Below are 16,542 nucleotides of genomic sequence, written 5' to 3' on the forward strand. Positions count from 1 at the left end.
GCATGATCTTGGCCCACTACAACCTCCGCCTCCCAGGTTCAAGCAATTCTCCTGTCTCAGCCTCCCAAGTAGCTGGGATTACAGGTGCCCACTACCACACCCAGCTAATTTTTTTGTATTTTTAGTAGAGACGGGTTTCACCATGTTGGGCAGGCTGGTTTCAAACTCCTGACCTCGAGTGATCTGCCCGCCTCGGCCTCCCAAAGTGCTAGGATTACAGGCATGAGCCACTGTGCCTGGCCCAAATTTTCTTTTATGATCGACCACTCTTCACATTCATCACTCACTGTTATAAGAAAATCGGTCTCTGAGCATTACATACTCTTCCAATCTATTTGAACTTGTCCCCATTGCCTTGTGTAGAGACTTACTAATGTTTCAATCATAGTGATATTTCATTGTTTTGATTGTTAAAGAGAAATTATTCAAACACATTTTTTAAGTGTCAAGAAAGATTTTATTCAAGACTATTGCAATAGGGGTCAAGACTATTGCACTAGGGGAGAGAGAGTGAATTCAACTCCAAATACAAATAGGGACAAGTGGGGATTTAGAGTAGGAGAGAAAATGGACAGTTACTATGAGGAACTTGCTTAAGGTATCAAGGAAGGGGGTAGGAGGAGAGGAATTCTCCTCACTCTTGATATCTAGAGTGATATTTTACCTGTTTCTTTTTCTTCATCTGGATTCTTCATGGGACACCTTGATATCACTCTAGATATCAAGAGTGAGGAGAATTCTCAATAAACTGGCTTAATAGGATTCTTTGCTAAAGCAGGGTTCAGGAGGTCAATGTCAAGGCTTAGTTCAGAAGAGGAGCCTGACTAAAGTTGGGTCAAAGAGGAAGTCTTTGTCTTTGTTAATCTTTCAAATTTGAATTCACCCACTAATAAGGACCAATTTAGAATGCTATATGTACTTTACAAGTTCTTTTCTAGACCTGGAAAATAAGCTCCATCATTACTCATAATGACATTATAGGTAACTGACGCCAGCTGTCTTCATAAGAACAAAATTATCTAGCAGAATTGCACACACACTGACAATTTGGTCCAAATGAATTCTAGGAAATCTGATTAAACTCAGAGGGTAATGAAAATATTTGTAGTATTTATATTGTGCTTAGTATTTGCCAGGTACTGTCCTGAATCATTTGCATGGTTTAATCTCTTAGTCCTCCCAACAGTCTATTGGGAGGTATTACTAACAGTCTGTAGGGAAGTACTATTACTAGCCCCATCCCAGGATTACAGACAGAGAAACTGAGACACATAGCAGTTTCAAAGCTTGTCTGAAGTTACTCAATTATAATATGTCAGGTTTGTGATTGGAACCTAGCACTATAACTTTTGAGATGATGTGTTTACTACAGTGCATTCCTACTTCTGTAAATCTCTTCTCCTTCCTTTCTCTGAGCAAACACATAAAACTGGGAGGTAGGTAGGAGAATTGGGATGACATTCATTTGTGGAAGTCCATATACTGTGTCATATTCTTCATCTTCAGCACTTTTAATCTCTAAAACATAGTGCAGTATTTAGCAGGTCATCAATAATTTTTGTTGTTGGGTAAATGGCTGATCGAATGAATTAACAAAAGGACTGGATACTCCATTTCTGATCACCATAGAGATAACCAAATTACGTTTCTCAAACTCTGTCATGCTGAGGGCTGCAGTGACAACATTTTAGGACTAGAACACATTACTTGGATTTCACAATACAAAGATGATTGCAGTTGTCCCTGGTAAGCTCAGCCCACAGAGCCTTTCAATTCAGCTTGGGGTGAGCTGCACTTCAGGCATGGGGATATAATAGTGTGATGAACCATTCTTCTGAAGGTTCTTCTGAAAAGCTGCTGGTCTTGGGATACTGTGAGAGCCCCTCTCATTGCTCTTTAGAAGTAATTTAAATTTTTCTGCTACATTGTCTGCTCAGCTCGTATTCTGGTCATAGAGGAACCTGAAGCCAGAGAAACTAGACAAAAAGGTAAGAGAAAACCAAGCAACAAATGCAGTCTCAGCTGTTGCTAACGTTATTCACAGGAGTGACAAACTGAATGAATCTTAGGGTGAGAGACTGGTCTTTTTACCTCATTTACACTTTTCCTTGGTCTGCACTGTAGATCAGCAGAACTCATTTATCCTAAGAAATCGATGACTAATTTTCTGTGAAGCAGAATCAAGAAATCTGGTCTACATTGGTTAAAAATAAGTACTTGGTTCACCTTGTGCTGTGAAGTCCAAGCCAAATAATTGTTGCAAGTTGTTGAAGCATTTGAGTGAAGAAAAACTGACCAAGTTCACTATGACTGCATGAAATGAAATGCTGAACTTTTTGGGGTTGAGGGGGTTGGAAGGATGGATGGAGGAAGACAGTTGTTTCCAGTCTCTGAAATTCAATTCTGCAGTAAGTTTCTGTATCACCAAGTGTCACTTTGGCATACCTCGTGCATATTTATAGTCTAAGGCTTTTCATATAGGATTCAAACATAGATTAAAGTAGCAGGGAACTTGAGAGCTCCAGGGAAGAATATGATACTTTAATTGCATTTGATCATTTTATTGAATTTGCCTAGGAAAATCAATTAAAACACAAAACTTAATTTTTGTACTTACAGCAGAGATTATACATTCCATCTTGTCCCTGACTATAGATTTTTGCCTTTTGCTTTTCATTAAATAATCAACTTCAAAGTACTCAGAAGGCCGATGGTTCTATTCTGCTGGGTATGGGCGAACTGGAACAGGGCCTTCATTCCACAAACATTTTACTTGTTTCTTTTTCTTCATCTGGCTTCTCTATGGGACATGTTCAAATTCTATACATACCAAAGCAGTGACTTATTAGACGTATGTAATGTTTTAAAAAGATAATAGTGTATTTAAATTGCAAATGGAATTACTGCAATAATATGAAATATGCATGATTATATGGAACAGTTGAAGAGTTCCCAAGTGAATATTAATTGCCTTGTATCCTTCCTTGAGGCAAAGGCATATAAAAATAACATGAATTCACAAGTAGTTAGAGCCGAGTGTAGTGACTCAGACCTGTAATCCTAACACCTTGGGAGGCCAAGACAGGTGCCTCCCACTTGAGGCCTCCAAACTTGAGGCCACAAGTTTGAGACCAGCCTTGGCAACATAGCAAGATGCCATCTCTGCAAAAAGTAAAAGAATTAGCCAGGTGTGGTGGTGCACTCTCGTAGTCCTAGCTACTTGGGAGACTGAGGTGAGAGGATCACTTGAGCCTGGGAGGTCGAGGCTCCAGTGACCTGTAATGGTGCCACTGTACTCCAATCTGGGTGGCAGAGTGAGACCCTGTCTCAATAAATAAATAAATAATATGAAAAGCAGTTAGTTAACTTTGTAAATAAAGAACGTTTAGACAATTTGTTTAACTTCTTTGAGCCTCAGTTGTCTTATCTGTAATAATGAGGTCTGCCTTTTAAGATTATTGTAAAGGTTAAATGGGATAATACATGTGAAGCCCCTAGCAGAAGGCCTGGCACAAAAAGTGTTAGCTATTGTTGTTACTATTACTATATTATTATTGTTGTTGTTGTTGATCAAAGCTTACAGTTACAAGACAGTACCAATTACATAATGCTCTAAAAAATTCGCATATTTTTTTCCAGTGGGAAAATTGGATGAAGGTGCTCTGGAATAAGCTCTGTAATACTATTTCTAGTCAGAGTACACCTCAAAGAAGGATCAGAACTCATATAGAACCTAGCCTTTCCGCTGCCCTAAGACAATGGGGCAAATGCTTACTTGGAAATTCCAAAATAAACAAGCAGCGAAGGTAAATGAAGAGAATGATTTTCTGTCTCCACTGGAGCTGCCACAGCTTTGTTTATCACATTAGTGCACCTTCACAAAGCCTCACCTTTTTTCAATTTCAAAAATGATTGCAGCTTTCTTCATTTCCAAACAAAGGACTATGGTTTGGAAATAACACACATGTGAAGGTGAAAGTGCATGCTCTTTACCCTAGAGAATACTTAGCCAGAAATATCTTACTAGTTTCTTACAGGAAAGGAGACTATATGGCTCTGGAGATAGAGATCCTGGGTGACAGTTCTTGCTCTTTCTCCCAGCAATCAGATGTCAATCAGACTCGTACAAATTACTTAAGCTCTCTGCCCTGAGCATTTTTATATGTTACCTCATGGAGTTATTGTAAAGATTATATGATAAAATAATTGCATGATGTGTGGGACATTGTCTGCAACATAGTAAGTGCCCAATAAATGTTAGTGATTCTTATCTATTTTGTTGGATGATATTTGCACTGAAAAGTTAGATATCATTCCGGTTCTATTATACAGTTTAGTTTATGATTGTATTTGACTCAGAGTAAAAAAATTGTGAGCAAGGAGAATTAGAAGGCTTTCTTCTTCACACCTATAGCCCAGGCTGTGTTCTTGCTTTATTTATTAATAACATAGGATGTGAGAATTGTCTTCAAATTTGAACTCTTGTACTTTTCATTTAATAGTGAAGGCTCACAAAGCCCTGGGACAAGATCTTTGTTAATAAAGTACCTCTAAGCAGTTAAACAGCAAAAATTCATATGCAGATTTGCTCTGGGGAGAAAAAAAGGTTTAAATTATAAGAGTTTCTTTCAAACTATGGGAAACAAACTTTTTTTATGGTGGTGAATCACTTCCAAAATGAAATTCTAATACATTTGATTGAGTCTTGTGGGGTGGTCATATATTTTATAACCTTCTGCCCATCTTATCAGAGAGTTTAGATATTTAATTTTTGTACTTTTTTCATTCCACCTTGGAATCACTTTAGTCCTAGTCCCATCCTGGTTTAAAGCCTGTGTGTCTCTAAATTCCTCTAACCATGCTTTTTTGTGTGATGATATTACATGAAAAGAATTGGTATTACCCAATGTTTACCAATGTGTTACACATTTTTTGTGTGTGTAATGGTATTACACAAAAAGAATTCACCACTGAATTCTTTTAGAGCAAAACCTAGAGCCATTTGTAAGATGGTAAGCATAACCTGGTGGAGCATTACATAAAACACAATGAGAAGGAAGAAGGTGGAATATCATACTTTTAGAAGACTTGCTTTACTTAGATCTTTTAAAAAATAATGGGATTAGAAAATAAAATGTAAAACAAATGTCACTTTCCCCCTTTTTAAGGGGATTATTTGTTCTATCTTTGGGAGGAATGAGAGATTTCTTAGAGTGTGGAGATGCTCTGTTTTCCGCAGGGCACCTTACGTGCCTATAATTGTTATATTTATGATTCTGGTGTTTGTCACCAGATTTGACCCCTTTGATGCTGAGAGCTGGTAAAACATTTTATTTAAGGCATTTTGACTAGCAATTTTAAAAGAAGTTATTAGAACATTGTGAGAAAGAATTTGAGAGAAAATAGAAACATTACAATCAACATATCTGAAGCAAAACATTGTCAATATAGATAAATAATGGTTCATCCCCTATTCCTGATTCAATGGTTTCTTATTATCTCTTTGACTCCTAACAACAGGCGTTCCTCCCTTTCATCTTTCTTAGGGTCAATAACAATGAATGGGTGATTTCAGTTATGAGGAAGAAGTAGGTCCTTTTTCTTTCATAATTGCTTCTCCATCGACCAGATACTCTGTAATTTACAGTACTTGCCCCAAGGTTTCCTGCGTTATCCTTTTTGTCATTTTGCCCTGTACACAGGAATATAACAACTGATTGTCTCCAGGCAGTTTTACCTAGACAGAATTGCCTTATTAATCAATCAATTTTTCAAGAATACTGAAATAAGAGATAAGAAAATGTCGGTAAAAGCAGCATTCTCTTGACTGCAGGAAAAATTTTTTCTCCTAAGATTTTTTTTGTTGCATTTAGTTTCTTAGGGTAATTAAAGCCTTCCTTGTTTTAGACTTAACACTAGAACCAAAATACTTACCAAAAACTGCACATTTCATTGGTATACTTTGCTAAGGTAAAAAAAAAAAAATTGGCTTCCATTTTTCTCCTTTTAAGAAGTAAGTTCTAATGAGAACACTTGGACACAGGAAGGGGAACATCACACACTGGGGCCTATCGTGGGGTGGGGGTAGGTGGGGAGAGATAGCATTAGGAGATATACCTAATGTAAATGATGAGTTAATGGGTGCAGCACACCAACATGGCACATGTATACATATGTAACAAACCTGCATATTGTGCACATGTACCCTAGAACTTAGAGTATAATAAAAAAAAGGAAAAAAAAAAAAAGAAGTAGGTTCTTCAAACTTCATTATCTTTACTAATCAATTTACCTTCTCCTCAGCAAAATGTTCTAATAGTCCTACATTGCAGCCTTTGATGTTGGTTGCTTTGTTTCCAAATGAAACAAATGAACAACAACAACAAAAAGTCAGGATTTTTTATTTTACAATATTGGGGTGATACCTCTGTTTTTTCATCTGGAAAATGGCACTCTTTCTTAGAATTAAAGTCACTTTAAAGATTTAAATTTTAAACAAGTTATTATTTTAAAGTATTTTATTATTTTTAAAACTTCATTTAGAAAACTTGTCATAAGATTGATTATTTTTGTAATGATTCATTCAAATTTGCTTTCATCATATTCTGGCAGATCTTAATAATCTCTGAAGTACAGATGTCCCTTACTGACCTTCTGTATATTAGTGAAACTCAGTCTTTTTTGTGTTTGTTTGTTTTTACAGTCGAGTCTGGCTCTATCAGCCAGGTTGCAGTGCAGTGGCGCAGTCTCGACTCACTGCAGTCTCTGCCTCCTGGGTTCAAGCCATTCTCCCACCTCATACTCCTGAGTAGCTGGGACCACAGGTGCCCGCCACCATGCCTGGCTAATTTTTGTGTTTTCAGTAGAGAAAAGGTTTTGCCATGTTGGCCAGGCTGGTCTCAAACTCCTGACCTCAAGTGATCCGCTGGCCTTGCCCTCCCAAAGTGCTGGGATTACAGGCATGAGTTGCCGTGCCCAGCCAAAAATGTCTTTATCTTGAGCAGAAGAAAAACACGGAGACTTAAGGTTTTGGGGGCCTTTTTGTTTTTCATTTTCTTCACGTGCAGAAACCCAGCAATGTTCTTCCTGTAGTTACTCAGTTTTGACATTCTTTGCAGTTAGGTCAACAATGCTTGTTTTTAAAAGCATTTTAATGCAAGAAAGAGTGTATTCTAAAGCCTGTCTTCCCCGCTGAGTATGGCAAGCTGAGCTTCAATTTGCAGTTCACCTGTTGTTTGATAATTGATATATTTCTGAGTTATGGTCTCCTTTTAATTCTTCTAAGGATAAAGAAACAACATAAGATAAGGTATGAGGCTCCTGAAAGTTATCTGGTCTTTCTTAATAGATCCTTACGAAAAACTGAGGCCTGAGGCTTGGAAGTCTGATTGTTAAACAAGCTCTGCAGGTGACTGAGATGGGAATCATTATTCTAGCACTCCTGCTTTAAATTCATGACCTACCTGCTGACAACTTCATCTCTCAATTTAAAGAAAATAAAATGAAAAGTTAAGTGGTGTTGAGGAACAAAAATAAATTGGTTGGCGAAATAAAGGTGTCAGAAACTCAAAGAATTGTAAGCTTTAGGTCTGTTTTTAAAAAAGAAACTAAAGAAAAAAAAAGACCAAATCTATTTGTTACTTAACTCATTTATTTATTAATTCACTCCATTTTTTCATTTACTCAAGGAATCTTTATTGTCTACCAAATGCTGGGCTCTGCACTACTTTCAGAGGAAACCATGATGAGCAAAAGCAGATAGATGAATTAAAACTCCTGCCCTCATGGAGTTTAAAGTCCAGTAAGAGAATAATCATAATCAATTGTATCATACAGATAAGCATAACATTACAACTGTGGTAAGTGGTCACAAAAAAAGAGTATATGGAAAGGGCTTAAATGACAGATTAGACAGAATACTGAAGGTCAGGGAAAGCTTCTCTGTGGAAGTGACTCTTAGACTGACATCTGAAGGATGACTGGGAGCTGATAAAACACAGAAGAGCTGGAGAACATTCTAGATAAAGGGAACGGCATTCATTCTTCCTGCAGCCTTTCAACAACTTCAGGCACTGTGCTGGTGCTGAGGATACAGCAGTGAACAAAACAAATTCCTTGCCCACAGAGAGCTTATGTTTTAGTTGAAGGAAAAACAGACTATAAACAGATGACCGAATAAACAGATGTCATAAACAGATGACATACACAGATGTCATCTGAATAAACAGATGACAGATAAACTATAAACAGATGACTAGAAACAGATGACGTAAACTACATCAGGTGGTGTTAAGTGCTGTGAAGAAATGGAAAGGATGAGCTAAACAGGAGTCCAGAGTGTGCAGGTGAGGTGGGTATTACAGGGATCAGCCTTTCAGCTGAGGCAGCAGATCATGCAACTGTGAGTGAGGGAGGCCTCTGGGTAGGGGGAGGAGTGAGGGCTGAGAGCTGCAGTAGAGCATCCTTGGGCATGTTCTGGGAACAGACAGCACTGTGTCTGAGTATGTGTTGTGATGGGAGAGGGAAAAGGAGCAGTGATAGGAAATGCAATCAGAGAGGTCATGGGGCCACATTGTCCAGTGCCTTGCATGTGAGCCAGGCAACCCTTGGAGAGTTTTAGCAAAGAAGTGGATCACCGGGTCTGACATATGAAAAATAGACTGTTAGTGCTGCAAAGGTGAGGGCAGCAAGAAACACTTAGAGGCATTTACAATAATGGTTTGGACCAGTTTGGTACAAGCAGAGATGGTGAGATGTGATCAGAGATGTGGTTGGATATACTTTGAAGGTAGAGCTGATGGGATTTGCCAAAGGAATGGAAATTGAGTGTGAGAAAAAGAGAGTCAAGGGTGGCCTCAACATCTTTGGATTAAAGAACTCATAGAATAGAGCCTTACTCACTGAGATAGGGAGAATGGTGAAGGGAAGAGACTGTGAGGGGTAGTTCAGGAGATTGTTTTGAGTCAAGTAAAGTCAGAGATGCCTTTTAGATATCCCAAGTACTGTGGTGGGTAGAGTTTGTCATATTTGATGAACTTATAGAAGTCAATATCTGACCAAAGCAAGCATAGGAGACCATGCTGTCCAATGTGCTGAAGAGACAGGCTTGGGCCAGACTACACTGGCCTTGGGGAGCACTTTGGAGATTTCAGCCCTCATCCTAAAAGCAACAGGAATCCATGAGTTTGGGGTATCAGATTAAGAGTTCCAAACTGGGACTGGCTGCAGTCTGGCAACGAGTTTGGAGTTGGGGATTGATAGGAGTAAGAGTGGATGCAGGAATATTTGTTAGGAAATACAACAGTCCAGACAAGACACTGTGGTGGCTTAGGTCATGTGGTGGTGGTAGACGTGACCAGGCAGAAGATTAGAAGCTATTCAGGAGGCAAATGCCAGGACTCCATAGTGGGTCAATATGGAGGTGAAAGAGAGGGAGGTGTCAAAGGTGACTCAGCTTTCTAGCTTGTACAACAAGATGGGCAGTGATTTCATTCATAGAGACAGGAAAAACTGGAATAGGACCAGGGGAAAGGTCATAAGATTAAGATGCCTATGTAAAATCCAAGTAGAAATGTCAATAAGCAATTGTGCACCCATCATGGTCTGAAATGCAGAGGTAAGGTCAAGGCAGGAGACATTAATTTGTGAGAGACATTCTGAAACTTAAAGAAAAAATAGTTTTTAGAAGGGAAGATTGATACATGCAAGAGGGAAAGGATAGTTAATCATGTAGCTCTCTGAGAAGACTGGAGAGAATGGAATTCAAATGTAAGTGGGGGCATAAGCCTTCTATACGAAGAGGAACAGCTTTTCCCTCTGTTGAAAATGATGCGTGCAGATACTAGTATATTTATTTGTATGCTTCATTCATTTGGCAAACATAATGTACACCTACCATGCACTATGGACATCCTGAAGTTCTGGGGATACAGAAACAAAAAAGAAACAATCCTCACCATCAAGAATCTCACTGTCATATAAGAGAGGTTGCAACAGGACAGTATTTGTGGGAACACTGGGCACAGTTAGATGCACATCCCGAAACTTTTGCAATGTAGATTTTCAAATGTTTGGAGAATAGATAAGCATGATATTATGGCCTATGAAATTGAAAAAGAACATATCTCAAAGGGGTTGGGAGTCTCTCAAGGACAGAATTTGGATTGTGTAATTGATCCCTAGGAGAGAACAAGTGCAGTTTCCAATATAAGATGAGGGTCCCAAGACTGAACTATTTGGTAGCAATCCCAGACTAACATTTCTTCAGAGACATTTTCTCACCAACTTTCCCCTTGAAAACTAGAGCAAAGGCCTCAGCCTGTGCATATCGTCAGCATCTAACACCTCCTGAGGTCTGCGTTGACCCTGAAACAGCTTTATCCTGGTTCTTTCCTGTCTCACATCCTTTGCACCCTTGGCCAATATCCAAATTACAAACTTCTTTAGTCATCTGTCCTTCCCCCACTCGCATCTTCATGTTCTTTTTTAATTTTCTTCCCTTCCTCATGTTATATTCACCCCATTGCTTCTCTTCCTGCTAATCTTTCCATCATGCTCTTGGAAGTCCCTTAGATCTTTTACCTCCTTACCTTAACTGAAAATTGACTATCCATTAGGACACGACTTCCCACTACAGCTATATCAAATAGAGGTTGTTCATTGTTTTTCATTGTCAAGAGGGTGTTCAGCATTTTCTTGCATCCTGAACATTATACCTCCAGCCATCTTTTTTGGTCAGGCCATCTGATTATTAGTCTACTTAGCATCACTGTCATCCATCAACATCATGGTTATTTCTCTGTATAGTCTTTCATAGTTTTGGCACCTGAGTCCCTATCTTCCTCTTCATTGCAAATCCTGCCACACTGATTCAGGTGACCCAACAAACACACACACACACACATACGCGCTCGCGCACACACACACACACACACACACACAGAGTGCCCTTCCCACTCTTCATGGGAAAATTATTCCCTTGGCCACACTATGGACCTTGTCACCCAGAGTTGCTTCAACTCTGGAATCTTGAATTTCAATATCTCATTCTCAAGCAATGATCTGCTTCTGAAAAGAGCTTTCTGTGTTGTGATCACCATACTTATTCTCTGACCTTATTCAGTGCTCCAGTCTCTTGCCCCTGTTCATTTTCTCTCAATCTATCAGTCCCCTCTTGGCTTCAATACCATTTCTAACTGGCCCAGGTGACATAATTTTTAATCATTCTCCTAAACCATTTTCTTAAACCATACACTCCATTTTCTTGCTACCGTCCCTATTTTACCTCCAGAATCCAAACTTTGGAAGGACTCCAATGTCCAGCTTCTCTGCACCTGATTATGCACACCAGGCACAGCTGTGGAAGATTACATGCTCATGCAGATTGATGCCAATAATGATCTCCAATTTTTGGATAGACTCTGAATCTTAATACTTCTGTCTGCCCTGGTCATCTTTTCACAGTCCTCACTCCTTCACTCTTCACTATCCTCCTCAAGCCCTCTAACCCACAATTTCCATACCATTTTCAGCACATGACATCCATTGCTACCTCAAAAGAAAATAGTAGCCTTAATACAAGAAATCTATCCAGAGCTCCCAGGGATAAATTGTACCATCTGTCAACTTCCTTGCCTGCATGCATTTATTTGTATTTACACCAAATTAGTAGATGTCTCTCCTCGTGTCATAGGTTAATGCTTGAACTTGGCTCTGGATTGCATTTGCATGTTTCTCTTCTTGCTAATCAATGCTTCTAAGTCTTTACTGTATCAAGAGCCTATTCTTCATTATTAATTTTGTTTTTAGATCAATGTAAAATACATTTAAGTCTTTCTCATATTTCAAAGCATAAAAATAAACAAACCTCCTCTGGCCATTCTAGCTCCTTCTTCCCTCCAGAGCTAGGCTTCTGGAACAAGTTATCCTGTTATAGAGCTTCCACAGCTTCACTTGCTTTTAATCTTACTGACTGCAGTCTAATTTCTGCCCTCCCCAGTTCAATGAAGCTCCTCCTTCAATGACTGCTAATTATGTCCCAGTTGTTGAAACTGATGGACATTGCCCTATTCTTATTTCACTTAGTTCTTCTGCCCCATTTGACACTGATGAGAAATCTCATTTGTCTTCAGTGTCCTTGCTTTCTCCTCTATGTTCAGTCTTTCTCACGCTCCTTGTAGGCTCTTCCTCTTCGATCTGTCCCTTAAATATTGGTATGACACCACTGGATGAACTCATCTAGTCCCATGGTTAGAGTTACCACTGATGTGCTGACCCTCCAAACTAGAATTTCCAACCCAAGCTTGTTGGAATATCTAGTTGCTTTATTAGATATGCAAAAGCAACAGAAATTTTGCATAAAGCTTCTCTCATAATCTTTTTCAGCAGACCCGATAGTTCTCTTTTTTCCCCTTTCCTAGTCAATATCATCAGCACCTGTGTACTTATCTTAAGCAGAAACCAGGAAGTCATCCCTCTTCAGCCTCACCTTCTACATCCAGTAGTCACAAAGTCCTGATGTTTTTGCCTTCTTCTTATTAAATTTCTGTCCCTTCTTTCACCCTTTTCACAGCTATATTTTGATTCAGGCTCTCTATATTTCTCTGTTAAATTACTACACATAGTCTGTTATCCAGTTCCCCTGCTTCGAGTTGCTATTTGTCTAATTCACTCTCCACACTGCAACTGGTCAACTTTCTAAATTGCAGATCTGTTCATGTCACTTCCCTCCTCAAAGTTCTTCAGTGGTACTCTTAACCTTCAGGATAAAACTTATCCCTTTATGGTATAGCTCATGATTACAGCTATTATCTCTGCCTAGAACACCTCCCTTCACTCTTCTTCTCCTGACTACAGTAATGCCTACTTATACTGTCAAATGCAGTTCAGATACTCTCTCCTCAGAAAACCATTTCATGATTCTGCCTTCAATATCTGTTAAATGCCCATCCAAGGTGTCCTCATAGCTTATGTATTTTATTTATTATTTATTTCAATTACTCACCTTAGCAATTGTAGTTATTCATCACGCATATATCACATTTTATTACAATATCTTGGAGAGTGTATGTTTCTCTCTTTGAATGTGAACTGAACAATAAAAACAACACTTATGTATGTTTACTATGTGCCAAGTTTGATCTAAGTGTTGTACTTGTATTGACTCATTTTGTCCTCATAGCAACCGTTATTTCCATTTTACAAAGCAGAGATCACATCCTTCTTATTCACTATCACCCCTTGCTGGCTACATAACAGGTACTTAATAAATGCTTGTTGAATGAAGGCCTGAATGAGTCATTCTATAGTGTTTAGCAGTGGGACAGATGTTCATAGAAAAACTGGGTATGATTAATGTACTAGAATGAAAATAAAGACCCTGTTTCTAGGCAGAATGACATTCCAAACAATAGCTGGGATTTAATAAGTGCCAATTAGAAAATCCCATCATATTTTCGCTGCAGTCCATGCTGGGGTTGCAATTTTAGCAGCTTTGTGTGTGGTGGAAAAATCCTCTTATGTATCTCTTGGTATTTCTCCACAATTTCATTCACTTGAAAATTGGCTATTAGTGAGCACTTCCTGTAATAAGTCCTGAAGTGAGTGGACAATAAAGAGGCACACTGAGAATTCCAAGCCATGGCAAGAAGATAAATCTATAGCAAATATAGATTTACCAATGGCTGAGCTTTTTTCTCCTGTGGTAAACCTATAAGCCATGCAAGAACTTTTCACTGCATGTTATCTTTTTTAGAGTGTGCCCTGGCCCATGTAGTCAGTTCCACCAGCATTACTGATCACCTACAGTGCACAGACATTGTGCTTTATTTGAGGCTGTGCCCAGCTCTGGGGAAAAAAAGGTAGTGAGTGATGGGAGCAAATGAGATAAGAGTTAGACTTTTGTCAGAAAATAAGGTGCTGCTGGTCACTACCATATTGCTTTTCCAATAATTTCAGTAAACTCTAGGTTGAATTAAAAAATACAAAACCTAGGGGAGGAGGGGGGAAGAAATAAGGAGAGACTGGTCAACAGGTACAAACAGGTACAAGGAATGAGTTCTGGTGTTCTATTGCACAGTAGGGTGAGTATGATTAACAATATTGTAAAGCATATTCCAAAATAGCTAGAAGAGAGTACTTTGAATGTTCTCACTGCAAAGAAATGATAAATGTAAGAGGTGATGGAAATGCTAAAAACACTGATTTGATCATTATACATTGTATACATATATAGAACTATCACACTGTACCCTATAAAAATGCACAATTATGTGTCAATAAAAACAAAACAAAATAATAGGAAATCTTCTTTTGTAGAATAAATCTGCCAATTAAGAGACATGGCTAGTAGAAACAGATGCGCTTTTGTTACTAAACTTTAATATTCGGCAAGAATTACCCTCAACCATTTGAAGCAGCAAATTACACCCTAAGCCAAAGAAGGGGAACCAGGATGTGGCTGAGAAAAGGAAGGATCCTGCTTCATTAGTCCATTTTCACACTGCTATAAAGAAATACCCAAGACTGGGTAATTTATAAAGGAAAGACGTTTGATTGACTCATGGTTCCGCATGGCTGGGGAGGCCTCAGGGCACTTACAATCATGGTGAAAGGGGAAGCAGGCACATCTTACCTGGCAGCAGGTGGGAGAGAAAGAGAGTGATAGTGCAGGAAAAACTACTATTTATAAAACCATCAGATCTCATGAGAATTCACTCACTATCACGAGAACAGCACGAGGGAAACTACTCCACAATCCAATCACTTCCCTGCCTTGGTGTGGGGATTATAGGTCCCTCCCTCGACACCTGGGGATTACAATTCCAGATGAGATTTGGGTGGGGACACAGAGCAAAATTATATCATTTCCTTTGGTAACTATGGGCCTTAGTATCTTGTTTGTGGGACAGGAAATTGAAAATGCCTAAAATTTTGAAATATAAGAAAACCAGAGCAACAGAGCATCAACCCCACTAAAGTGAAGCTGTGTTGTCATCGTTAACTAGCTAGTTAAAGCAAGGTGGCTTGGTCATTATAGAAGATATTTCTAATTCTTGATCATCACTAGCCCAACCTAAAATATAAAGAAACTTTTTCCTGCCTTATTTTGGCAAATTTGTGTAATCAGTTAAAGATAAAGACTTCCAAGCTTATAAACAGTATCAACTTGAAAATATTTTTTTCAGCTTGAAAATATCTAATGAGTTCTACACCCAAACTGAAACGCATTGTTAGATTCCCCTTGAGTTAAGTGCAAAGTGATTGGAATACTGCCCTCAAGTGATAGTTTAGATCAGCAGTTCTTGAAGTGTGGTCCGCGGACTTTTGGAGGTACCTAAGGCACTTTCCAGGGTCTACAGGATCAAAATCATTTTCATAAAAATACCAAGATGTTATTTGCCTTTTTTACTGTGTTGATATTTTCACTACTGGTGCAAAAGCAATGGTGGGTCAAAATACCATGAATTGGGACAGCGGTAATTGTATTCTTTATCAGGCACTCAGAGTTAAAAAAGCAAAATTGCTGGTTTTACTTAAGATGTCCTTGAAGGAGTATTTGAAAATAGTTAGATTTCAGCCCTTGTGCACATGTCTTTAATATTTTGTGTGATGAAATAGAAAGTATGTATTAAGAACTGCTGCTGCATTCCTAAGTAGGATGGTTGTCTCAAAGAAAACACTTGTGTGATTGAGCTGTCAGCTGAACTAGGTGAATCTTTTCATGGAATATCATTTTTTATCTGACAGAATGACTGGTAAACAAACTATTGTTCAGATCTGGGTATTTGGCAGACATTTTCTCAAAATAAAGTATGCGAACCTGTCACTTAGGAAAATAACAGACAGCATTTTTGCCAATGATAAACTTTGAATTTTCAAATGAAAATTAGAGTTTTGGAGGACTTCAGTCAGTCACTCTGAATCTGACATCTTTCCAACATTTAAAAGATGAGATTGGTGATGGTATTAAAAATATCATTTTTTATATTACATGATGAGATGTGTCAATATTCGGAAGAGCTGCATAACTCAGGGAACCATTATTTTCCAAGTGACCAATGCACGATGTTAAAACATTATGCATGGGTAAAATATTCATCTAATGAGCAAGATAGGCCACTGGATTTTAATGTAACAGAATATGAAAAGTTCACTGATATGGTTTTAGATTCTACATTGCACTGCAGTTTAAGAAACCATAATTTGCCAAGTTTTGGGTATATTATCAAAGGAGAATATCCACAATTATCTAAAAAAGGCTTTTTAAAATACTCCTCCCTTTTCCCACTACATATATGCGTAAGGCCAGATTTTTTTCCTGCATTCAACCCAAACAATATAGAGCAACACACTGATTACAGAAACAGATATGGAAATCTAATTGTTTCAATGAAGATGTTAAATTATTTTAACACTAAGATACCCAATTAAAGATATTTGCAAAAATATAAAACAGTGCCAATTTTCTCTCTCTCTGTATATATGTATTTTATCTTGGAAAATATGTTATTTATTTTAACATTCAATAAGTTTATCAATGTT

General features: G+C 38.3%; 1 protein-coding gene across 5 annotated transcripts in view, besides 1 other annotated feature; it reads left to right on the forward strand.

The window, feature by feature from the left end:
* Positions 1-16,542, forward strand: part of FAR2 (fatty acyl-CoA reductase 2) — a 186,339-nt gene that overhangs the window by 72,629 nt on the left and 97,168 nt on the right. For 2 of the 5 annotated variants that reach the window (NM_018099.5, NM_001271784.2), the window contains exon 1: positions 1,760-1,988. The exons of the other annotated variants lie outside the window; for them this stretch is intronic. The gene's annotated coding sequence lies outside the window, so the exon portion shown is untranslated. Of the gene's footprint in view, positions 1-1,759; positions 1,989-16,542 lie in introns of those variants that run through there. 5 annotated transcript variants of the gene reach the window in all.
* Positions 6,989-7,634: an enhancer, noted in NCBI's record as "OCT4-NANOG-H3K27ac hESC enhancer chr12:29381828-29382473 (GRCh37/hg19 assembly coordinates)". NCBI's record gives its function as "activates a minimal SCP1, AML or CMV promoter by ChIP-STARR-seq in primed H9 embryonic stem cells {active_cell/tissue: H9 hESC(primed)}" and the evidence as "EXISTENCE:reporter gene assay evidence [ECO:0000049][PMID:30033119]".

The sequence above is a fragment of the Homo sapiens genome, chromosome 12, assembly GCF_000001405.40.
Source record: "Homo sapiens chromosome 12, GRCh38.p14 Primary Assembly".
Taxonomy (NCBI): domain Eukaryota; kingdom Metazoa; phylum Chordata; class Mammalia; order Primates; family Hominidae; genus Homo; species Homo sapiens.